This window comes from Homo sapiens, chromosome 2, assembly GCF_000001405.40.
Source record: "Homo sapiens chromosome 2, GRCh38.p14 Primary Assembly".
Lineage (NCBI taxonomy): Eukaryota > Metazoa > Chordata > Mammalia > Primates > Hominidae > Homo > Homo sapiens.
Window position 1 is genome coordinate 110,851,573 of NC_000002.12, and position 24,286 is coordinate 110,875,858.

General features: G+C 48.5%; 1 protein-coding gene across 31 annotated transcripts in view, besides 6 other annotated features; it reads left to right on the forward strand.

Annotated features, from left to right (window-relative positions):
- The window catches only part of ACOXL (acyl-CoA oxidase like), a 385,976-nt gene that overhangs the window by 119,000 nt on the left and 242,690 nt on the right, over window positions 1-24,286 (forward strand). Inside the window, exon 1 of one of the 31 annotated variants that reach the window (XM_011511434.4) lies at window positions 1,626-1,806. The exons of the other annotated variants lie outside the window; for them this stretch is intronic. The gene's annotated coding sequence lies outside the window, so the exon portion shown is untranslated. Of the gene's footprint in view, window positions 1-1,625; window positions 1,807-24,286 lie in introns of those variants that run through there. 31 annotated transcript variants of the gene reach the window in all.
- Window positions 7,682-8,199: an enhancer, noted in NCBI's record as "H3K27ac-H3K4me1 hESC enhancer chr2:111616831-111617348 (GRCh37/hg19 assembly coordinates)". NCBI's record gives its function as "activates a minimal SCP1, AML or CMV promoter by ChIP-STARR-seq in naive H9 embryonic stem cells {active_cell/tissue: H9 hESC(naive)}" and the evidence as "EXISTENCE:reporter gene assay evidence [ECO:0000049][PMID:30033119]".
- Window positions 14,620-15,325: an enhancer, noted in NCBI's record as "H3K27ac-H3K4me1 hESC enhancer chr2:111623769-111624474 (GRCh37/hg19 assembly coordinates)". NCBI's record gives its function as "activates a minimal SCP1, AML or CMV promoter by ChIP-STARR-seq in naive and primed H9 embryonic stem cells {active_cell/tissue: H9 hESC(naive and primed)}" and the evidence as "EXISTENCE:reporter gene assay evidence [ECO:0000049][PMID:30033119]".
- Window positions 15,326-16,030: an enhancer, noted in NCBI's record as "H3K27ac-H3K4me1 hESC enhancer chr2:111624475-111625179 (GRCh37/hg19 assembly coordinates)". NCBI's record gives its function as "activates a minimal SCP1, AML or CMV promoter by ChIP-STARR-seq in primed H9 embryonic stem cells {active_cell/tissue: H9 hESC(primed)}" and the evidence as "EXISTENCE:reporter gene assay evidence [ECO:0000049][PMID:30033119]".
- Window positions 17,515-18,125: an enhancer, noted in NCBI's record as "H3K27ac-H3K4me1 hESC enhancer chr2:111626664-111627274 (GRCh37/hg19 assembly coordinates)". NCBI's record gives its function as "activates a minimal SCP1, AML or CMV promoter by ChIP-STARR-seq in primed H9 embryonic stem cells {active_cell/tissue: H9 hESC(primed)}" and the evidence as "EXISTENCE:reporter gene assay evidence [ECO:0000049][PMID:30033119]".
- Window positions 22,479-23,102: an enhancer, noted in NCBI's record as "H3K27ac-H3K4me1 hESC enhancer chr2:111631628-111632251 (GRCh37/hg19 assembly coordinates)". NCBI's record gives its function as "activates a minimal SCP1, AML or CMV promoter by ChIP-STARR-seq in naive H9 embryonic stem cells {active_cell/tissue: H9 hESC(naive)}" and the evidence as "EXISTENCE:reporter gene assay evidence [ECO:0000049][PMID:30033119]".
- Window positions 23,655-23,704: an enhancer, noted in NCBI's record as "active region_16376". NCBI's record gives its function as "activates an Ori minimal core promoter by ATAC-STARR-seq in GM12878 lymphoblastoid cells {active_cell/tissue: GM12878}" and the evidence as "EXISTENCE:reporter gene assay evidence [ECO:0000049][PMID:35858748]".

The window sequence follows — 24,286 nt, forward strand, 5'->3', positions numbered from 1 at the left end:
CTGGACGCCCTAGACTGTGTGGTGCTTCAGTGAGGCCCTCGTGGTGGGGTGGTGCAGCCCGAGGCACCACCTTGTTTTTCACTGCAAGGTGGCTGCAGAGCAGAACCAGTGCTCTGGTCTGTGGTCCTGAGAGCCCTCAGGGCGCTGGGATGACATCCCTCCGTGAAATACAGGTGCCTGAGGCCATGTTCCTGAAGGCATTGCTCATCTCAACCACCTGGAAAACTCTCTGGTCCGCGGGCCTCTCCCAGAGATCCGGGAAATGGGGGGCAGCTGTTTCCAGACCTCACCAGTGAGAAAGGCGCTCCATGTTCTGTCCTGGCCGCAGAGGTGAACATAGCCGGGGTCACTCCAGCTCCCACTGGGTTGAATGTCGCTGAGTGCAGGGCAGAGAGCAGGACGGAGAGAGAATGAGCTTGGAGGAAGCCCCCAGCATATTTCCTGGATTACTGAGAGGAGCTGCCCTTCTGCCAGGGCCAGGGGAGGCCAGCTCTGTCAGTGGGAGACCCCTATGGACGACTGTCCAGGCTGGTGTTTGTGGCAGGTCTGCTGGGTGTGGGGAGGCACAGGGTTAACTACTGCAGGGCTAGAGCCCATTGCTGACTTCTGTATATTCCCTTGACTGGCACCGTGTCGCCCTGGCCTGGTGGATCGCTTGACAGTAAGCCTGAGGCTGGTGCCTACCCATTTCATGGCGTGGTGGAGGGGGGCTACCAAGGTCTTGCTCGTATTTCTGTTGAGAGGGACACCGGGGAGCTCTCTGGTCAGGCTGCGCGTGGGGGCCCTGGCTCCCTGGCTCATATTCTGTGGCCTGACCTGCAAGCCCAGCTTCAGGCTCTCGACTTCCTCCTGAAGGGCGTTTCTCAAGTTTGAATGAACGGCTTAAATTGGCAAGACGTAATCCAGGGCTCTGTTAAACTAGCCACAGAGAGTTCTAAATCTGCCTCCCTCAGTCACCAAGATGCTGCATTTATAGGCAATTTTTGCTGTATGAATCACATTTTGGCCTCTTATGTGGCTCAAACTACTTACAAATCAAGAACATTCTATAGCCTCTACATCACATGGGGGACTGGGCCTGTAGGGGTGCTGGGACATCCCCTGGAGGGGCAGCACAAACCCTGTTCGCTGTGGCCAATGCAGAAGGAGTTGTGATGAGGCAGCTTTTTTTTCTTTTTCCTGAGGTGGTTTGTCACTCAGATTCTGCTTCCTGTTGAGGTTGGTAGAGCCTCAAGTGCCATGCAGAGAAGTCCACCTATAAACTGCCATTCCCTGGTCTTTCATGAGGCAGACTTGACTGCTCGTCCAAGTGCTCTATTCTGTTGTATAAGGCAATCTCCACCCTCATTAGAGCCCATGGTGGGTGAAGATGGTATGTGGGTGCTTGGAGCGGAAGGAGAGTCACATTTATACACTCACATGTCAGCAGCCGTGGGTCCATACAATGTTCCTCCTCCAGAGAACAAGCTTCTTTGTCTGCATCCCCTCCACTGCCAGCATGTGCTGGGTCCAGAGTGCCGGGCCTCGGGCGGGGTGGTCCATCTTGGTGGCTGTTTACTTAATCTCCTCCTCCTATACCTGTGGTTCTAAACTATGGTGATTTTGCCTCCAGAGACATTCAGTGACATTTTTGGTTGTCCAAACTTGGGGAGGTTACTACTGACTGGCAGCTACGGTGGAGAGGCCAGGGATGCTGTTAACCATCCCAAAATGCTTGGTTCGGCTGCTCACAACAAAGAATTATCTGGCCCAAAATGGGAAAAGTGCCTGGGTAGAGAAACTGCCCTCGACTGAGAGCTCCTGACGGTAAGCACAGTGTTGATTCCTCTTTCCATCTTCAGAGCCTGGCAGGTATCATGTGCTCAGTTGGCATAGGCTGAATCAAATCTGTGATTAAAAGGCTCACATGCATGTTGGTTTTTGTGTTGATAAAATACTTTCAATATTCCGTGATAATTTTTGTTCTATTTGTTTGTTTGTTTGTCTAAGCATAGAAATTAAATCAGCTTTCAATTAGTCATACTAATGGGTGGGAGAGAAGAGTAGTCCCTCCAAAACGGAAGATCCCCCAGAATCCACTTTTACGGTTGTCTGTGCAATGATACAGAGACACAAATGCACAGTAGGACTCACTGTTGCCCTCTAGAGCCAGCCCGAGGCCCTTTCTTGTTTGGTTTACAGGCATGGGGGAAGGCCCTGCCTTGTTGATAATCTACAAAGTGCAACAGATAATTGGAAAGGAACTAATTATTTTACCTTGACTGTACTATTCCCCATCTTCCTCTCTCCTCTCCTTTTTTTTAATCTTAAAAGGAAAACGAAGTGAAATCTAGGACACTTGTTTTTTTTTTTTTTTTAATTTCAATTGAATATAGATTAATTTGTTCATTCAACAGATACTTACTGAGCTTCTTCCATGGACTAAATGAGGGTAAAAGCACACCATGTCTGCCTTTGGTGACCCTGGTGGGAGTACTATCACAACCTAAGGGTGATAAAGGAAGCACTCGATGCTCCAAGGCATGTGTGTGCATGTCTGTGTGCGTGTGCATGTGTGTGTGTGTCTGTTTGCATGTGTGGGGAGGGTGTGCCCTGCCCTTCAGGCTGTGCAGCATGGGCTGGCAGCAACTTCTGAGGGGAAGAAGAGAGGGGGAAGAAGAGATTTGCAGGCACACAGTGGGTAGAGGATATGATTAGCATTGTTGGTACAATTTCCAGGCATCTTCTGCCTGTACCTCTTTGTGATCGTCCAGGCAGAACCTACCACATCTCCATGAAGGAGGCAGGATGTGGAGGTTCCACACCAGGTGGACTTGGGGATTCAAACTCAGGCCTCTGACTCCCAGCAGAAGACTTTTCCCCAAAGTGTGTCACCAACACCACCCAGGGTGCTGGGATGGTTCCCTAGGGCTCAGAGCCTTGATTCAGCCCCAGCCCCCAAGGAGGGTGTTTGTTTGCTCTCCACCAGCAGGGGGATAAAGTGCTGTTTGGAGAGTGTCAGGGCTGGAAGGGCAGGCCATGCTCATGGAAAATTTCCCTATTTAAGTAATGACTGAGTAGGTTTATGGAAGAGCATTAAGGAGACTTCAGGTGCAGGGATGATGTGGCAGAGGCCATTGAGGGCCACCACCTGGCAGAGATCTGGAAAGCTCTTGCTTAACCCAAGGGAGAGGTGGCCCTTCTCAAGCAGAGGGACCAGTTTCTATTTTCTCCCTTGAAAACAAGAAGGAGACAGTGGCCCCTGTCCTCTGGCATGGGGTCAAGGATGCAGAGATTACTGCTCTGCTCAGCCTAGCACCCCACCTCCACCTTCCCTGGAATCTGTCCCACCTGATGGCCAGCAGATGGCCCTGGGGAGGAAGCTACCAACTCTTGCTTTAAGAAACTGTCCCAGTTGAGAGAATTGACCTACCCCATGGGACTTGTCTTGTTTGAAAGGAAACCTTTGAGAGTCTTCTTTTAAATCACATGTCTTCTGTGATGAGTGTAGGTAGGAAAAAAGGAAACATTAGGTGTTGGAGGCAAAACTGCTCATATGGAGGAAAATCGTTTCATCTTTTATACTTCTTACATCTTTTTTGTATACCTGAAAGCAAGTGTAGAAGAAAAAAACTGATTCTGCCAGTTGGCAACAGTTATTCCTGACCTTAAAACTAGTCTTGATGTGGAGGAGACATCAGTGTGCAATGCTATAGATGACATATTGCTTAAACGCTTCCTCATTTAACTGTCATAGCCCCTAAAATGGGTGTTACTAATTTTGTTTTAGAGATAAGGGCACTAATGCTCAGAGAGGTTGAGGAGTTTGTCCGAGGCCACATAGCCATTCAATAAAGACTGTGTTCTTTCTAGTGTATTAGGAATCTCTGCTGACCTGGGCAGAGCTGTGAATATGAGATACGATTTGAGAAAATGCACCAAACAAATCAAAAAGCAACTTTACAGGAGAAGATACAAGGATGTACCTGATTGCTTGTCAAAGAAATAAAAATATATGATATGTACTGTGAAATGCAGTAATTTCCCTTTACCCAATGCTTCACTTTCTGTGGTTTCAGTTACCTGTGGTCAATTTTGTTCTGAAAATATTAAATGGAAAATTTCAGAAACAATTTATTAGTTTTAAATTGTGTGCCATCCTGAGTAATGTTGTGTCCGGAGTTGGTTTCTGCTGGTGGGTTTGTGGTCTCTCTGACTTCAAGAATGAAGCCGCGGACCTTCGCAGTGAGTGTTACAGCTCTTAAAGATGGCTTGGACCCAAAGAGTGAGCAGTAGCAAGGTTTATTGTGAAGAGCAAAAGGACAAAGTTTCCACAGGGTGGAAGGGGACCCCAGCGGGTTGCCGCTGCTGGCTGGGGTGGCCAGCTTTTATTCCCTTATTTGACCTCTCTGATGTTCTGTTTCTGTCCTATCAGAATGCCCTTTTTTCAATCCTCCCTGTGATTGGCTACTTTTAGGATTCTGCTGATTGGTGCATTTTACAGAGCGTTGATTGGCGCATTTTACAAAGCACTGATTGGTGCATTTTACAATCCTCTTGCTAGCTACAGAGCGCTGATTGGTGCATTTTACAATCCGAGCTACAGAATGCTAATTGGTGCATTTTACAATCCTCTCCTAAGACAGAAAAGTTCTCCAAGTCCCCACTCGACCCAGGAAATCCAGCTGGCTTCACCTCTCAATATGATGAAATCTGAAGCCATCCTGCTCCATCCCATCCTGAATGGAATCCTCCCCTTGTCCAGGTTACCCACCCGTTAGTCACTTAGTAGCTGTCTCAGTGATCAGATGGCTTGTCATGGTGTCACAGTGCTTGTGTTTAAGTCATCTTTATTTGACTTCATATGTCCCCAAAACACAAGAGTCGTGATGCTGGCAATTGGGATATGCCAAAGAGAAGCCATAAAGTGTTTCCTTTAGGTAAAAAAGTGAAAGTTCTCGACTTCATAAGAAAAGAAAAGCAATCATATGCTGCGGTTGCTAAGATCTACAGAAAGAAGGAGTCTTCTACCTGTGAAATTGTGAAGAAGGAAAAAGAAATTTGTGCTAGTTTTGCTGTCACACCTCAAATTGTAAAAGGTACAGCCACAGGGGTGATAAGCACTTAATTAAGATGGAAATTAAATTTGTGGGTGGAAGACATGGACAGGAATATGTCTGGTTGGCAGTGGGGTTCAGTACTCTCCCTGGTTTTAAACATTTAGTGGAGTTTTGGAATGTATCCCCGGTACAGAAGGGGGACCTACTGTAAAAGCCAGAAGACCCTGTGTGCAAAGAGAATATACAATGTAAATCCCAACTCTTGTATGGGATTCCAAGGACATTGATTTTTCTAAGACTCAGATGATGCTGTTAAGACTCTCTGACAATTCTTTGTGCTTTGGAGTCTTATTCATTCTTCATTCATCAAACAGTTATTTCGTATCAGGTAGGATGCCTTTAGCTATGACCCTGGCTTAACTATTTTAGATAGGAAGTGGATTGTTTTCTCTCTTAATGATTCCTGAAGTGGGGCAGTTTCAGGGTGGTTATTTCAGGGGCTCCGTGACACCTCAAGGACCAGAGTGGCTTTGATCTTTCTTCTCTGCAACTCAACATGTCAGTTTTGTCTTTGACCGACTCACTCATGGTCACAATATGGCTGCTGAGGTTCTTGCTCTCACATATAGATGTAGAAGATTGAGAAAAGGGGGACCCGTGTTTTCCCATATGTCATTTTTTAGCAGCATGGAAACTTTTTTTCCGGAAACCCTTCAAGAGACTTTCCTTCATCTCTCATTGGCCAGATAAACCCATCCGTCCATTCCTAAGGCCATCAAAGGCAAGAAGCATTGGGGTGACTGTGATTGGGTTAGTTAGTGGCTCCATAGAGAAGAGTAGGTTACATGAGCAGACTTAGGACTTTATTACCAAGGATGGGAGGAAGAGGGTTTGGGCCAACAACTGGAAATCTTGCTACACGTTTAAAAAATATTTTTATTATGGAAAATTTTAAACACGAGGGAGAGTAGCATAGTGGATTCCCTATTATTTGTCTCTTAGTTTCTACAATTATCAACATTTTGACAGTTTTAGTTCACCCTATCCTCCCTTTTATCTCTGGCTAGAGTATTTTATTTATTTATTTATTTTTAACATAGTTTTTGTTGATTAATTGATTGATTGATTGATTGAGACAGGGCCTGGCTCTGTTGCCCAGGCTGGAGTTCGGTGGCCTGATCTCGGCTCACTGCAACCTCTGCTTCCCAGGCTCAAGCCATCCTCTCACCTCAGCCTCCCGAGCAGATGGAAGCATAGGCGTGTACCACCACGCCCAGCTCATTTTTGTATTTTTTGTAGAGACAGGATTTTGCCATGTTGCCCAGGCTGGTCTTGAACTCCTGGCCTCAAGCAATCCACCCACCTCGGCCTCCCAAAGTGCTGGGATTACAGATGTGAGCCACTGTGCCTGGATGCTGGCTAGGGTACCTTAAAGTGCATCTCAGATATATATCATTTTTTAGGTGCTCTGGACATATATCGAGTACCTGCTATCTGCCTAGTTACAGCCAAAGAAGATATCTGTTTCGGGGACAAGAAATTAGTGAAAACTCACTGGTATTAGCTACTTTTTGCTGCAAAAGACAAAATTCCCTGAAACAAAGGAAAAAGGCAATATCCAGGAAATGGAGTTTTCTCCAAAGCTTTTGTTTGTTCTGGCTGCATCTGACATCCTTTCGATGTTAGAGAACAGGTGTCCTGGGAAGTCCGGGTGGGGAACAGGGGATCCTTCCTACTCCCCGAGACAGACGTGGAGCTGAGTGGAAGTTCCGCATCTCGTTTGTCATTTCCCTTCTCACGCTGATGAGGCCAATGCTTTCTAAGAGTGGGTTTTGGTTGGGTGACACTTGTTTCTGCATGTTAATAGATTTCTGGGGTAAGATAAAGCTCGGTGATGTCACCTGCAGGTGTGTGAGCCTGTGGTAGCAGTCTGCTGCCTGACATTTGCTTCACAAGGCGTTGCTAGCCACATCTGTCCTCAGCTGTGAGAGTGTCTGTATGCACCAGCAGGCTGAACAGAGAGATGTTTGTAACCAGAACAGAGAGTCAGATGTAACAAGCTGACTCTGGGCTGCGTTGCAAACACATGTACTTTCCCTATGGCGTTAGCTGATTCGATTTAGTTATGGAACAAAATACAAATGTTATTTCTTTAAAATATCACGGTGCCAGGCAGAGTATATTTCCTTACACCTTTTTCTGAGTTTCTTAAGCCCACCTGTTTTATTACAGGTTTAAAAGACCCCTCTTCCTCTGTGTGTCTCAAACAGGAAGCCTGCCTTCTCATTTTCCTTCAGTTTTGAAATATTTAATCCTTTGAAGAGAGTTTGCATGCTTCGTGCGAGGCGGTACCTTTGTATATAACACAATAAAATTCGCCACTCATCTACATGCGTTTCTCCATTTCTATATGACAATTAAAGGTCAAATTGCAAAGTTGAATCAGTTATAGCTCTGCGTTTAGGATACGTTCAACCTGAGCTGATTTTATCTGCCTGGGCTTTGTAAAATGTTAGTATTTGCATAGTGAGTTTAAAAACAGAAACCTTTTGCATAACCATATTTGAAAAATCCAAAACAAAGAGAAAGAGAATGGACTGATGATATGAAAAGATGCCATTTGACCGGACGCTGTGTAGTCTGGGTGGCTTTTGTGGCAGTTGTGCTGCTTCTGAGCGTAGCTTTCTAGAGTGTGCGAGTGGTGGCTAGATGTGCTTTGTTTCGTGTGCTGTGCATTTCAGTGCTATGTGAGGATCCATCTGACCCCAATACATTTTATTTGACATGCACAGCTGGGTTGCTGGAGGATAGTTCAGGCCATTAACAAGAAGGCAAAAGAAAACACAGACAATCTATTCATCAGAACACTATGAAAGGGAGACTTATTGGGGCAAGCTCTGGCAAGAGCACACCTGGAGGAAGGAGAAGGAGGAAAACCAACTGGGTGCCTAGGGAGAAGGGCGGAGGAAATGCAGCTGCTGTTGACGGCAGCCGGCTGCATGGAGAGGGGCTTTGCCAGTGGTGAAACCCGATTCCATTTCCAACTTGTGGAATCGTATTTTAGGATGCTCTGCAAACAAGAGGGTTGGATGGCAGACATAAGGTCTTATTTGCTGAGGGGTCTTTGCTCACCAGGCGCTTGGCACCCCAGCAGGACCCCAGGCTAAGGAGTGTGATGCTCACCTTGCATCTGAGGGTGGCAACCAAGTTCCTGGCCTGTGGGATCAATGCTAGGACTCCCCAGGCATCCCTCAGACTCACCGAAGAGGGAAGAGAGGAGGCGGCTTCTAGAATCCTTGGAAAGCCATTTCCTTGCCCTTCTTCAGCCACAGAGATGCCCCAGTAACCTCAGCCCGGTTCTCACAACCTGCCTACTCCCAACCCTGTCTTTCCCTTCCTGCTTCCTATCTGTGACTTTGCAGCACTGGTTTCACATTTTGTGCTTTTATCCAGTATAAGATTTCCATTTGTGTGTGCTGTGGGGTTGTCGCCTAAATAGCCTTTTTGTTTTTGTTTTGAGGTGGAGTCTTGCTCTGTTGCCCAGGCTGGAGTGCAATGGTGCCATCTCAGCTCACTGCAACCTCTACCTCCTGGGATCAAGCAATTCTCCTGCCTCAGCCTCCCAAGTAGCTGGGACTACAGGCACCTGCCACCACACCTGGTTAACTTTTGTATTTTTAGTAGAGACGAGGTTTCACCATGTTGGCCAGGCTGGTCTTGAACTCCCGACCTCAAGTGATCCATTCGCCTTGGCCTCCCAAAGTGCTGGGATTACAGGATTACAGGCATGAGCCACCGCGCCCAGCCTTGAATAGCCATTTTCTAATCCTGTGTAGAGACCCAGGAAAAGGCTCCACCGCAGCTGCAGTAAGAGGCTGGGGTGTCTGTGCATCACCTTGGTCATTTGGACCTTTTCGGAGTGGCCACTCTGAGCCTGGCCTGGGCTGAGACATTGCTTGCTGTCCCCAACTTGCTTACTGGTCTTCGGGAAAAGATCAGTGTGTGTACTTAATTCACCACGATGAATCTTGGTGCAGAAGATGGAGTGCCTGGGGTACCCAAGAGCCTTCCTTTCTGGCCAGAACTCTATCCAGATCTTCAGTGCAGAGACCAGGAGCTTTGGAGAGAGAGACTCGAGTTCATGTCTAGGTGATCTGCTGCAAGTCAAGCACATGTGTAGAAGAGCACTCAGGAAGTGGCAGCCGGGCTTATCTGCATCTGGGGACCACAGAGGGAGCTGGTTGTTTAACACGGCCCCCTGTTATCCACTGGTTCCCCTGTTCTCACAGATCGGAGTCCTGCTGGAAGCGAGTGTTACTCTATTGAGCTGAAGTCCACAATAAATCCTACAAGAGCTTCTAGGAGTAACAAGGCATACGCCTGTAATCCCAGCTACTCGAGAGGCTGAGGCATGAGAAGAGCTGAGGCACGAGAGTCACCTGAACCCTGGAGGCGGAGGTTGCAGTGAGTCGAGATCATGCCACTGCACTCCTGCCTGGGCAACAGAGTGAGACCCTATCTCAACAACAACATCAACAATAACAACGGTTTTATTTCAGTATTGATTTTTACAGAATCCTGACTCCCAAATCAAACCAGTTTCCACACTCATCAGGCATTTTCAGAAACCTCTGACTTTCTTTTTGCTTGATTATAAAGCTCAATGTAAATTCTACATCATTAAAAAAAATACCAAAACAACAAAATCTTGACAAATACCACTTGACAAGACTGACTTACAGACAACCAGTACTAAAAACCCAAACCACTGGAAATGCATATGGCTTTTCCCGGTGGGACAGAAAATTCAGGTGCCCATTTAGTTAACTGAGCTCTGGGAAGGCCTGAATGAACACTGCTCCCTGGCTGCTTTCAGGGCTTTATTTGTCCTATTCCCCCCACTTCCCCTCACATAGGTTCTGCTTCTTGACCTGGAACGGAGAAACTCAAAATCTAACCCCGGCTATGTTGTTAAATGGTGAACCTTTAAATTCACACAGGGTAGTTGATGGGAATTTCAAAACACGGGGTTAAATTCTGCTCCTACAAAGATGGAACAAAAGCTCTCTGTCTTTTGGAGGTCGCTAATCCGGTGTTTGCACCTTATTGTCACTACGTAATGTCTGAAAAACTTGGAATTATTTCCAATTAGTGGGTTTCAGTGGATCTTGCTCTCTGAGCTGTTGACCCCTTGTGTTTGTTTAGCAGGATTTTCTCACCGGGCTGCACCTTGCCCAGCATTGTTTTGCTGTCAAAGCCTCTGAACGGCTCCGGGTGACCCCCGCAGAATTGTCCATGTAGTGTCGTGAGACTGGGGGAGCTGTTGTGAATTTTGTGATGACAGATGGCGGAAGCATAAAAGGCACCTCCACGGGCTTTGTGAAAGGGGATTTGCTCTCTCAGAACCTTTTTTCCTCTCTCCGTTCTGGAGGCACTTCTGTGGTTGCTGACATAGCTGCAATGCTGCCCTTTTAGAATAGTGAGGCCTTCGAACCGAGAACCCTCACGCTTTGGCATACACCTGCTCACTGGGCCACTTCGTCCCTCCCAGTCCCCACAGCCAAGCCTCAGACAACCTGAAGGTCTCAGCCACATGCGACATTGGGAAAGCTGGTGCTTCCCTGGAAGCTTGGCACCCTGGAACACTAGAGTTTAATTTGATTAGGATTTCACCTGATTTCTGGAGATTACAGGGCCAGAGTTATCAAGAGGGAGAGCACGGAGCTGAGTGCAGTGGTTCACACCTGTAATCCCAGCGACTCAAGGCAGAGGAGGGCTTGGAAGCTGAGGCAGGAGGATCGCTTAAAGACAGGAGTTCAAGACCAGCCTGGGCAACTTAGCAAGCTCTTGTCTCTAAAACAATAATAAAAAAATTAAAAAGAAACAGAGAGAGAGAGCAAAAAGGGGGCCTCTTTGGTGCTGCTTGTGAAATGGGCATTTGTGATTAGCTGCCTTCTGGGCTCTAGCTGAGACGCAGAGGTTGGTAGAAGGTCATTTGCATGTGTTGGGCGGAAGCCCAGAGGGATACAAAAAGAAGGAAAAACGGAGTTTTAAATTTGGCGCAAATGGCTAAATTCTGTGTGTGCCCCGGCGAATCACCCCCTGGACACTCATAGCCCCCTCAGCACCCCAGTGAGGACCCTCCTCCTGGCCGAGTGAAACCCCAAAGGCTCCCAGAAAAGAGTTGCCCTCTGTGAAGGGGCCGTGGCCAATATTAGAAATCCTGGATTTCCAGCTTGTTTGGAAAACTGGGCAGTCCAGCGGCACCCGGGGCCCTTATCCCACAGGCAACCACCACCTAGGGCCCCGCAGCAGCTACCACCTTCAATGCACCCACATTCACTAGGTTTTTTATTTTTCTTATACCTTGCCTGCCTACTCATTTCCCTGAGTAACCGAGTAGGTGTTTGAGTTTGCAAATTTCTGATTTGCTCTAATTCTCTCAGAGAAAATGAAATGTAAATACATAAAAAGGACCTTTAGAATCCATTCCAATAAAATAACCCAAGATGCAGAAAACATTTCATGCAACAAAGATGTTCCTCTCCATTATTCATAATATACAAAATTGGAAACAACACAAGAATGGGAGAGGCTTAGCTACATTATGATGTGTTCTTATGATGGAATATTATATAACCATGAAAGTATTGCTCATGTAGAGTTTTTAATAACATGGAGAGATGCTCATGATATAATGTTGAGTTAATTTTAAAAAGCTCCACATCAGGTTGCGTGTGCAATATGCTCTGTTTTCCAAAATATGAAGGCAATATGCATAGAATAAGACTGGAACGAAATTTGCCAAAATATTAGCAGTGATTGTTTTTTGATGATGAAAATATCTATGATTATTTTCTTTATTTTACTCCAGGGTTTTCTCCTCTTCTACAATGAATGTGCATAGCTTCCATATTCAGGAAAAAAAATTAAAAATAAGGAAGAAACAGAAGCCCTGAAGGTTATGTGATTTCCCTGAGCACCCCCCCCAACTGGTTGGTAACAGGGCAGGACTAAAACCCAAGTTCCCTGATTCTGAGATGGGTGGGACACATTCCATTCCTTAGGGCCAGACTGCCCTAAGGAGCACCTGGGGTTTATGGCCTCCAGAGTTCTCATTCACAGCCCATGTACTTTATGTGAGTGTGGTTTCTCTGTGGGGGGAGGGTGCATATATTATTTGGGTCCTTCGTTTTGCCTTTAATTTCACTGTCATGAGGAATCTTTAAGAACCAGACAGCTGAGCCTCTTGCATAGAAATCAAAGCAAATACAGGCATTACTGCTAGTTTCACAACTCATGTGACTTGTGGGTGTGTTTCCCTGGGGGTGCACCTAGGCTAGAGCTTCTCCAATTTCTGTTTTTCCTCCCTCTTCTGCTTCTTCTTCACTAGTGAGGACAAGCTAAAGCCACTCAGATCCCTTCACTCAGGCACAGAAGTGACACTATGCTTAGAAGAGCCCCTGAGTATATATACCCTGTTGACTCTGCACCAAAGATGATCAACGTTTCAGCAGGCGCCATGAGAGCCAAAGACCCAAGTGCCCTTTCTGACTCCTGTCACTCACTGTGTTGGTGACTTTGGTCAAATCTGTTCTTTCCCAGAGCATCTCCCATAGTGGGAGATGGGAAAGGGAACATTTTCTGCTGAATGACGTTCTGTAGAGCATGTGGAACAGGGCTGATGGGAGACACTCAGTAAAGGTCCTCATGGTCCTTGAAGGGGAGGAGTTCTCAAAACTGAACACCAGGGGCTCTCCATCCACAAAGGGTAGACTCAGGCTTCACCAAGCCCACAGAAACCCGAAGCCATTTGTTTCTCTACAACCAGAAACTCAACCATCCAGTGATCCACCCTGGGAGACATGTTCTTGGGAGGTCAAATGCTCTTTAAGACTTGCTGAGTTATGGGATATTCAGAAGTGCCTCTTGGCTAAGGGCGTATAAGCTTTCTTGTATGTTATATCTTACCTCTTATATTCTTGCATGGCGATAGCCTTTCCAAGGAGACCAAATGCTCCCTCATTTTAGCCATGACGGTCTCTCCCAAGAAGAGAGAGCATTGCTAACATATGCCTCCAAGATTCAGCCTTGCCTGTGTTTTTGGGGCTCTGTCGAATTAACCAGGCTTTCACTAACTGTAATACAGTCCACTTTTTGGCCCTGTGCCTTGTGAATAATCCAGCTCACCCCATTGGATCTCTGAGGTATATGGGCTGCTGGTTTCATCCTGAGCAGCCTCGTATCCAGGCTGTCAGGCTGTTGTCTCCCTGGAGCGTCCTGGCCAGCCAGCCTCACTGTGATCAGGCACCTGTTGGCCCAGGTTTTCTAGCAAGTGGGTTGATGTGCAGGTGGGGACCCGGGACAGTTGGGGCATGGGAAGTGACAGGAAGGCCGTTGCCTTCCAACTCTGCTGAGTTTCTTATGTATTTCTGTGTGGTGGATGATTTCCGTTTTTCCATGCTTCTGAAAGGACTTAAAAAATCAGGGCCTTCAGGAGAATTTCTAGTTGCTGTGAAAATGCATGCCAACTGGAAATGTAGGTATCAATATCGAAAAGCCTAAGTTTGCCTGTTACAAAAAGTGCAACTGCATGTTTTCACTTGCAAATGTTGAAGGAAGAGATGGACCCCTTTGCCTGGGGTCCCTGTCACCTGGCTGCCCTGGGTTGGAGTGGAGCACACGGCAGGTGCGTAGGGTGGGGTTGGGCTGGAGCCAGCCCTGAGAGCTGCCTCCTCAGATCTGCCTCTCAAACCCTTTCGTTTTTACTTTGCCTTAACTTTGCATTTCTCGATCTTTGAACTATGGCCTGATTTCACATTCTGAAACTATGCATGGGTCTCAATTCTGTGAAGAATAGGATGTTTCGAAGGAGTGATGAGTCACCTTTTATTTCAAGCCAATGAGAAGCAGCCAACCTAAGGGGTATTGAAGAAAGGAGCATTTGTGATATTTCAGGATAATTATATCTATTTTTAAATTTTGTTTTTAATTTTACAAGTGATAGATGGAGCACATTCTTATTATAAACCTCAGAGCCCACCTTGTCCCCTCCACTCTGCCCCTTGCAGAGGCCAGCACTGCCATGGATTTAATGTGTGTGTTTCCAGACGATTTACATGCATTTATGTGTGTGTTTGCAAGGAGAGAAATATGTAGTTTTATTTGCATTTTTATTTTTGCATGTAAATGATAGCATAATCTATCCATTGTCCTACAACTTGTTTTTTTTTTCCTACAAAACTAAAAGGATTTGCCTTATTTTTAACTGCTGACACCTACCATGGTAGGTTTATTTAGCTTTATTTACTCCTCTTGATAGACAGAAAATAGATTGCATTTCTCGGTGTATCTCAGTGAAGCTCTGTTTCAATGACAAAATAAAATACACTTTTATTTCCTCCCCAGAGTGGTAAATACTATTTTAAGACAGAAGAAAACACAAAAGGAAGAATGATTCGGAAGGCGGGGAGGTCAGGCAGCTTGCCCACTGCTGGAGCGTCCAGGCCTGTGGCGTGCCGTGTGCCTCATTTGTGGCCAGCAGGATGTGGGGGCCTGGGGACAGCAGTGTCAGGAAGGGGCCATGGGGCAAGCCAGGCATGGGATGGGAGAAGCACTGCTGTGGGAAGTCCCATAGCTGGAGGCAGGAGAGGAGGGGCAGAGGGCGGGAGAAGATCTGGGGCAGTGGTGTTGGAAGAGTGTGTGGACTGACACCTGCTCTCAAAGGCAGGGAGGGGAGCTCTAGGGAGAAGACGGGCTTTGGAAGGGCTTCTCAGGGTGATGAAGTAGGATTAGTTCAGACTCAGTTAAGTGAGTCATTTAGAATGAAGACATGAATAGCCAGAGCCGAATGCCCAGGGAGGAGGTGGGCCAAGCAAGGCAACGTGGAGCCAGGATCAATATTTGAATCAGGAAGATCAGAGAAGAGGAAGGATCCAGAGGTCTTGATGGAGACAAAAGAGCCGCTTTGGAAGAGGGGAAATACAGGGGAGGCGCCAGTGGAGGGAGCCAGGGGCAGAGTCGTGGCTTTGCTTTGGGTGACTCAAGCAGAGGTGAAAGTCTTTGAATGGAGGCAGAAGCTTGAGGCACCCCCAGGTCCCTTTGTCTGTCTCTGTATTCACTTGCTCACCCGTTCACGAAATCACTCACCAGCTCACCCACCGCCCCATCTCCCCACTCACTCATCCACTGACTCACTGAGCATAAACGATGCCCCAAGCACAGCCTGGATGCTAGGGAACCCACTGTGCTAGAGACGAGGCTCCTATCCTTTGGAGCCTCCTGTCTGGTCTGGTCAGGGAGAAAGATGCACAAAGATGAGGTGCAGAAAGTGCTGCCCCAGAGGCTGGCCAGGGTGCAAGGGGCCACAGGGCTTCCCCCTTGGGCTGCCTGATGCATCAGGGTAGGAACGCCCTGCAGACCTTGGTCTGGCCTTGAAGGATAGACCGTGCTTTGCTGAATGGAGGAGGGAAGGGACAGCATTCCTATAAGAGGGCCCAGCAGAGTGTCCTGGGTGCTGGGAAGTTAGGTGCGACTGGAGAATAAGGCCCTGTGGGGATCCGGGGGATGAGGGAGGCAAGGAAGGGAGTGGACAGGAGTGAAGCTTGGAAGGGCATGGAGCTGGGCTTCTGTCTCTAGCAGATGTCAGCAAGTTAGCAGGGGAGGACTAGTGCCTGATTCATTTCTGGAGGAAGAGGCCTGGGGGTGTGGTAATGGGTGTGCTGGAGACAAGAGGTTGAGGCAGGCACTGACTAGGGGCATAGATCCTTCTGCATCTCTCTGTGTCCATCCATCATTCTGTGCACACTTTGGCACTTCTGGAGAACTTGTTCTCTTCCAGACTCTGAAAGTCAGTGACTAATAAGATGTGGCCCCCTGATCACTGGCATCTGTAGACTGCTGAATGGTGTCTTGGATAAAGTATGTGCCCATTTATTTTTCTTGCATGATGAATAATCGGTCTGAAAGGAAACAAAGTCCTGTTTGGACAGGGCTCAGGAAGGTGAGAAGGTCTGGGTGGGGACTGGAGGGCCAATAAGGACTTCTTTTGAATTCCAGGTGTCAAAGGAGTCTTTGCGTTTTAGAAATTAGGAGATCAATATTAAATACCTTTTGGTGTGTAGCAAAAAGTTGACATGAAAAAGCAACTCAAAAATTGCTTTTTTTTTTGAGATGGAGTTTTGCTCTGTCACCCAAGCTGGAGTGCAGTGGCATGATCTCGGCTCACTGCAAGCTCTGCCTCTTGGGCTCACGCCATTCTCCTACCTCAGCCTCCCGAGTAGCTGGGATTACAGGTGCCCACCACCACGCTCAGCTAATTTTTGTATTTTTAGTAGAGACAGGGTTTAACCATCTTGGCTAGGCTGGTCTTGAACTCCTGACCTCGTGATCCACCCGCCTCAGCCTCCCAAAGTGCTGGGATTACAGGTGCAAGCCACCACGCCCGGCCAAAAATTGCTATTCTTGATAGAAATGCAGGGGAACTGATTTATTTACACTTGTATATTTTTTGCAGACTACATTTTTGTGTAACGAATTTCATGTAGTCAATGGAGAAAAGGTAGCTAAGCTTTGGAAACATCTCAAGTATAAATAAAGTGAGAACCACACTATGAAGCGAGTTTCTAAATGAAACTTACTTTACAAGTTTGATTTTTTGGGGCTGCTCTGTCTGGTGTTATCATTTTCCTTAATTCCTGCAGGGATTGTCATTTGTGGCACCAGAGTCTTTTCTCTGGATCTGGGTGCTCTGGTTTCTGGCTCAGGATTGGCTGATGCACCTTTTCTTCTTGGGAAAAGGAGCCTGCCATCAACAGTGCATGTGAGCAATTGATTCCTTTGGCAGGAACGCTCTTCTCTATCGACCCACGTGAATCTATTGGTTTTCAGATCACAACCAGCTGGCCTGGTCTTTGTTTTCCATTCTCTTCTTCTAGTACACACATCTTATTCATTTTTCTCAGCATTGCTCCACTAGAATTTCTTTTCTTTTTTCAAAACAGTGCCTCACTCTGTTTCCCAGGCTGGAGTGCACTGGTGCAACCCCAGCTCACTGCAGCCTCAACTTCCCAGGCTCAGGTGATTCTTTCACCTCAGCCTCCCGAGTAGCTGGTACTACAGCCATGTGCCACCATGCCCAGCTAAATGTTTTGTATTTTTAGTAGAGATGGGGTTTCACCATGTTGCCCAGGCTGGTCATGAATTCCTGGGCTCAAGTGATCCTCCCACCTCAGCCTCTCAATGTGTTGGGATTGCAGGCGTGAGCCACTGCTTCCAGCCTGGAGTTTCTTATGTTGCTAATATATAGGCAAGGCTGATGTATTTTCCAAAATGCTCCCTCTGGAAAATGCACCCTCATGTTCATGGGGGTGACATTGTGACAGTGGCAGCTAACATTTCTTGGGTGGTTGCCATGGTCCAGATGCTACTCTGAGCACCTTAACTACATTACTTACTTTTATCGTCACAATTCTGGGAGTAGGTACTGTTTGCCCTCTTTGTAGCTGAAGTGTCTGAAGCACAGAGAGGGTAGGCCACATGGCCGATGTCACACAGCTAGGAGATGGTAAGCTTCTCCCCTATTTGTGCTCTCACTCTCAACCCTGGGGCCCACCGGCATTGTGAATACTCAGCATTTCAAGTCTCATCCCTGGGGAAGGCTGTGTGTATTGTAAATCCCGTATCAATGCAGTCGTTGTTGGCATTGTTTAGGCATGTATCAGAGCCACACACACTTCCAGACTGTGTGTCAAAAGGTCCCAGAAAACTGCATTTCTGTGTTCTGTCACCCCAAAGGCCTTGCTGAGTATGTAGTTTCACCTTTTGTTTAACCTTCTGTTTGGAGGCTCACTGGCCACAATGGCAAATGTGTGGTGGGTGAGCTTCCTGGCGGGGATGTATTCTCTCCTGCTCCCAGGGGCACATGCCAGCACTCTCCAGCGCTGGGGCTCGCATCTCTTCCAGCAAGGCCAGGCCAGGCTCTGAGTGCATCTGTGTCATGCTGGAGTCCCTGCAAGCCCTGTGCTTGCCCAGGTGACCCTCCCCTTATTCATTGGCCACAAGAGGCAAAGTAGCCAGTGAGTCATTCGAGCCCATAGCATCTGTCTCCAGAGCCCACACCCTGAGCCACTGTGCTCTCTTGGCCCTCAGCCACCTTGGAGAGCTGCCACTGCCCCTTGCCGTCCTCCTGGCCACAGAAGACTCCTCCTCCAGAGGCAAGGCAGCTGGTGCCCCTTCCTGTGTGAACCTAGCCACTGCCAGCCCCTACCCAGATACCCTCCATTGTCAGATGGGCCTAACCTTCTAATCAAAGGTCTGGATGGGACTGCTCAGGGCCACCTTCAGGCAAGTGGCTTGTAATGGATTCACCGAGCATGTGGGTCTCACAGAGCCTTTTAGAAAACGTGGGTGATTCCTTCACAGCCTATTTAAACCCATGGGGGAGTGGGGAGGGCGGAGGACTAGTTATCTTATGGCTGGGGGAAAATTAGGGCTGTTCCCTTGGTTTTCTGGGTATTTAGGGCTGAGTCTGCTCCACAGGGTGTTTCCCAGAGTCCCACCTGAGGTGCTTCAAGGGTTCAGCAGCCACTCAGGCCACTGCCTACCTGCTGGACAGCACAGAGCATCCCATCTTTGTGGAAGACTCTTTAGGCAGCACTGCCCTAGTCAGCTGTCGCTGGGCAGGCCTTGTGTAGTGCCATCGACTTCCTTTTCAAGGGAAGCCCTAGACTTTTTTTTTTTTTTAAAGAAGTAAAATCTTCTAAATCTTAACTTTTTGTGACATATTCAAATGTTAAACAATTGGGGTATAGGTTGAACAGAACACAGAAGTGGACTGAATTCCAGGGGCAGGAGGGGAGGGCATTTATCTATGTTGTGACAAACCTTCTAGGTGGTTCTGGTGCAGGATAAAGTTTAAATAACATCAGCCCAAACCATTTAGTTTGCCCACAGTTATGCCAGGGACAGTCAGAGCTAGAACCCAGGCATTCTGATTTGCAGCCAACATCACCCTCATGGGCAAGGCCAAGTCTTTAGGGATGTTCCATACCGTGTACACCTGGTCACCACCCACCCCACACCTGGACTCTCACCTGCCACCTGTGGGTGACTCTGAAATTTTTCTAGATATGATGTTTTCCTCTTCCTTTGTAATTTCTGATCAAAATCAGTTTCCTGTCTCAGGGTGCAGGATTTCTCCTTGGCTCCCTGGAAATGGTGGGGGGAGGAACCCATATAGGGGTCACCAAGCCTGCTGACTGTGACACGTGGAGTTTTGGTTTGAATGAGGTCAAAGTAGTGGGCAGAATCAAGGGAGAGGTCAGGCCTGCTCAGGAGGGACCCCTGACTCATGGCTTAAATCGTCCCAGTGTTGGAAAATCTGTTATTTACTGCGTGGGACCCATTTCCTAGAGACAGACTAATAATGACCTTATTACCTACTTTTCAGAATTTGAAATTAGTATTTCTTACATGTTGGAGAATGTGGTACCAAGCAGGTACTGCTTATCGAAACTTTACGGGATGTCATTTGATAGGAGACGTTTTGCATTCCTGGAATGCAAAACATGTTGGAAAAATCCCTTTCGGTGTGCCTGCCTGGACAAGGCAACCCATGGGGATCTGGCTTTGTTTAGTAGTCTGGGGAAGGTCTCCAGTGGTTTCTGTTGTGAAAGAGGCACACTGTCCATTTTGGGCTGAGAAATATTTGGAAATAGGACCATGATACTCCACAGACCTTGCTGATACTCCACTTCCAGGACAGAAGTAGGAAATAATATGGAAGCATTAGCCACTGGTCCCAGCCCAGTGGAGAAACAAATACCCTGAAGCTTGTACAATGAAGCACTTAAAACTGAGAGAGGTATTAATGCCATTCGTCTCGGGGGACTGCAGATTTCATTCATCACATCCTTGCCGTAATCTTACTGGTTGGGGATGTGGCTCAACAGGAATCTTCAGTTAACTGTGTGGAAGAATGAAAGGGGTCTTACATCACTGCTACTAAGGTGAAGTTCAAGTTCAAGGTCAAAATCACTGGTGGTAAGATGAAAGTCAAGAAAAGCAGCATCTCTGCCTCCCCGGGAACCAGGAGCAGCAGTCTCCACTTAACCTGTGGTCAGAGATGAGAGCGCCATAGCACGCTGAGACGTCTCCCCTGACCTCAGCTCCAGGCACTGTTTGGAGACCAACACTCATAGTGACCTGGGAGCAAGGGGACGCTTCCTTTGGTTGCCTGCATCCTGCCCACTCATTCTGAGACTCACTCCTCCCACAGGCTTGTTCTGCCTCCTGTTTGTTTCACATGACCTGGTGTTTCAGTAATCCACCTCTGCGTAACAAACCACTCCAAAACTTAATGCATTCAACTGTAATGATTGTCATTGCTCACAAAATATATGCCAGAAACTTGGAATGTTGTCATTAGGGGTTGTTCACACAAGCTGCATGGCAGCTGGGAGCTCAACTGAGGCTGAAACATCTGAGTTGACCTCTTGTCCTTTAGGGCCTCTCTGCTGGCCTCAAACCATCACATCATTGAGGCTGGACTTCCTGGCACTGTAGTCCCTGGGTGCCAAGAAGGAGTACATGGAAGCTGCCAGACACCCTGAAGGATAAGCCTGGAACTGGTGTAGGATCATTTGTTCTGCCTTCTTTTGGTTAAAGCAAGCCTGAGGCCCGTCAGGATTCAAGAGGAGGGGACATAGAGGGCATCTCTAGATGGCTGGAGTGCCAGAAATTTGTGGCTCCCTTGAATTCACCACCTTCAGTTTGTAGCGGGTGCAATACCTGGGCCTGACTGAGGCTAGTGCGTATATATAGGGTGGTGCCCAACCAGGAGAGCCTCCTTATGGGCCAGGTGTCCGTCTCCTGGGGGTCTCCCAACCTTCACAAAACTGGCCAGAGACCATTCTTGCTGGCTTTAGGTCACGTTGATGGGAGAGTAGCCTCTCCCAGGTTCTCATGCCCAGAGGAGAGCTGTCACTTCCAGCAAGGCCATGCCAGGCTTTGAGTGCATCTGAGCTGTGTGTCACTGGCCACCTGCACCCAGCTCCAGGAGGCTGCAGGGCGTGGCCGGCCGCCCTCTGCATTAAGGTCTAGTTGGAGGCCCAGGTTTCAGTTCTTAAGAGTGATGCTTGACTGTAATGTTTCTGTTAACCTGGATTTTGGAATCCTTTGGTGTGTGAGTGCTGGGGGATAGGGTCTAGAGGGAGGGGCTGCTTGTTAGCAAACCCCTAAGCCTCCTGAAGGGCTTGTTCCTGGCTTGACTCCAGTGAAATGTCTCCAAGGAGAGAAGAGAGTGACACCTCACGGGGCTGCGGGAGCAGCACTAGGTTGTCAGTTATGCTCAAAATATATTTTGTAGTAAAAACTTGTGTAGCATTTCTATTTTGTTTTTTCTGCCTGCATTTGTTTTAACATAAAACAAATGTTTTATGAGTCACATTGACACTGTAGGCAAATGTGCTGGGTTCCTCCGTCACACAAAAACCCCAGGCGGCCCTGTCCCTGAAGAGGGTGACAAAACTGGGGAAGTTCTTGTCATAAAACTGTGTTGTGCACACCATGGGTCACTGGTGGTGGCATTCTCCCAGAACCCTGGCTGTGGCTAATGGGAGGATCCTCGGGCAACAGGGGGCTGGTGGATTGGGCGCCCAGGCACGCCATCGTTTGATGCCTGGGAGTCCAGTGGGAGATCTGGGAGGAGGCTCGGTGGCAGCCAGAAGGCCTGGCCCCAGCTGGGGCCCAGTGTGGACTCAACCTCAGCTCTAGGGAAGCAGTGTGTCAGGCGGTTGGGGGATGGTCCACAGGATGCCGTGAGCCCCAGGTAGCAGGATGTTTGCTGAGCCTGCTCTTACAAGTTTTAAAGTATTATCTTATGTATGCCTCTCAGCAACCCTGTGGCAGAGGTACTGGAATTATTCCTGTCTCTCTTTTGGGCACCTGGTGGGTGGGAAGGGGGCTGCAATTTGCCCCAGGTGCCTCCTTGACCACTGTCCCCACTGCTCAGCTTCAGAGCAGATGGAGTAGAGCCAGGGGAGGCTGTGAGCCTCCCTGCTCATCCCTCAAATTGCCCTGCCTCCTGCCATGGGAGAGGGTAAAAGGGCCCCCGTTGGGAGGGGCCAGGAGGGGCCCGGGCCTCCCAGAGTGTATCTGTTCAATTGCGTTTTCTACGTCTGTCCAGTAGGGCAGGTTTATATACAGGGAGACAGGCTCTCCAAGAAAACAATGGGGCCACCCCAGGTTTTGAGATGTTCTTGAGGAAGGTCATGCAGCCCTTCCCTCACCAGTGTATGAGGCTGAGGATGAGGCACAGGGTAGCTCTGTGGTCTTGGCATCCACCGTGTGGCATCGGCCAGCCCTAGGGCCCTATCCATGTCCTGGCCCTCTGGGTACAAGACCTGAGGCCCAGAGCACTGTGCTGGGTGGAAAACAGAAAACCCACCCCAGAGCAAGAGCCGGGGAGGATGCCCAGAGGGCAGGTGGGCGCTGCTTGCCTTGGGAGAGAGGGCAGCAAAAGGGAGACCAGCCCCCACCCTCAGCAGCCTGGGGGGCTCTGCAAGGCAGCAGGGGACAACGGAACCGAACAGAATGCTTTTGGGGGGGTGGTGAGGGGCTGCCCCGCTGCAGGGAGAGTGGGCACGACATTTGCGTGCCCCACGTTGGTTGGCATCAGCATGACAAGAAATTGTTTAGTTCTGTGGTTTCAGGCTCACTGCAAAATACGTCTCTCCCACCCCCACCCCAGCCCCTGGTTTCCCTTCCAGCCACACCTGACATCCCTCGGTCAGAGCTGGGCCTAGAGGCTGGAGGGCGAAGCAAGGCAGACAAAGGCAGGTCCCTGGGAAGCGGAATGAGCAGAAAAATTGGAGTTGAGAGGCCCCAAGAGCCCCTCTGCCATTCAGCCTGACCTTGAGCAAACCCATCACTGTCCTCATTAGAAGGCAAGAGAGGACGAGATTAGCATTTCTGCACATGACTCTGGATGGCCTCCTTCAGCACAGGGGAGGGGAGTGGTTGCTAAAATAGTAATAATGGTGCTACCACATGACAGTGCCCACCTCCTCTGGGTGTTGCGAGGGTTTAACAAGTTAGAGCAGAGCAGAGCTCACGGTGGAGGCCGTGAGGGCTGTGCTGCTTGTGTTTTAGAATGATTGGGTTTATTATTCGCATCATTTTCTGAATTTCAGGAGGATTCTTGGGCTCCATCCCGGATCTCGTGAACCAGCATCCCTCGGGGTGGGAGGCAGGAATCTGCCTTTTATGAAACACGTGCTTCAGGCCCCAGAGCCCTGAACTGGGAGGTCGCCGAGGTCTCTCTCTCCTGTGTTATCTGGGAGCGGGATTCTCACTGACCTTGTTCCCTTGTCCTGCCACCGGCAGGATTTTAAGCTGTGATCAGGTGCAGCTCTAAACCCAAGCACTGACACTAGCTTGCCACGTGGCTCCGCTCCGTAACCTGAAGGCAGCCTCTGAGCCGGTCCCTTGTCTGCACGCAGGCCAATGACGCAGCACAGTTAGAGTGAGGCCGACTTCCCACGTGCCTACCTAAGCCAGGATGTACACTTTGTTTCACAGGGACAAAGGATGGCCGTTCATGTGTAAATCTCATAAGTGGAAACTGCCACCTTTGAGAATATTTTTCTTGACTCTTGAAGAGGGAAGGACCGTGGAGAGCATTATTTCAGGGTTCTGTGAGTCACCACACACTTCTGCTTTCTTTATTAAGTGTATTTTTTGGACAAAGAAGAATGCAGCTTTGAACACTGTGTCACCGCAAGCCACACAATTCTAAGACTCTCCTCTTTACGCCTTTGACATGCAAGACCCTTGTAGATATGGGGAGGTGTGGAGCGTGGAGCCCCAGAAGTCACCGACCCAGCAGACAGGCTCAGGCTGTGCACATGGGTGTGGGCTTGGGGCTGTGAGTGTGTGGTCCTGGTGTTTGGGTGCACAAGTGTGCTTTCTGGCTGCATTTTTCTGGCTCGTCTCCTCTGGGAGCCCCTTGCTGCTCACCTCGATCCTATCATTCCAAAGGGAAAGCTACTTTTCTAGCACCCAGGTGGAATTGCATCCTGCAGTGGGCCCAGCTCTGCCTGATCCTGGTGCTGTGGGATTCAGGGAAGGCCGCCTGACCTCTGTGAGCCTTGGGTTCCTCATTTGTCAAATGAGGATTGTAAATTCCACCCTTATGGCACCTAAGTGAAGCTGTTGAAAGGCATTTGTAACCTCTACAATGGATGAGG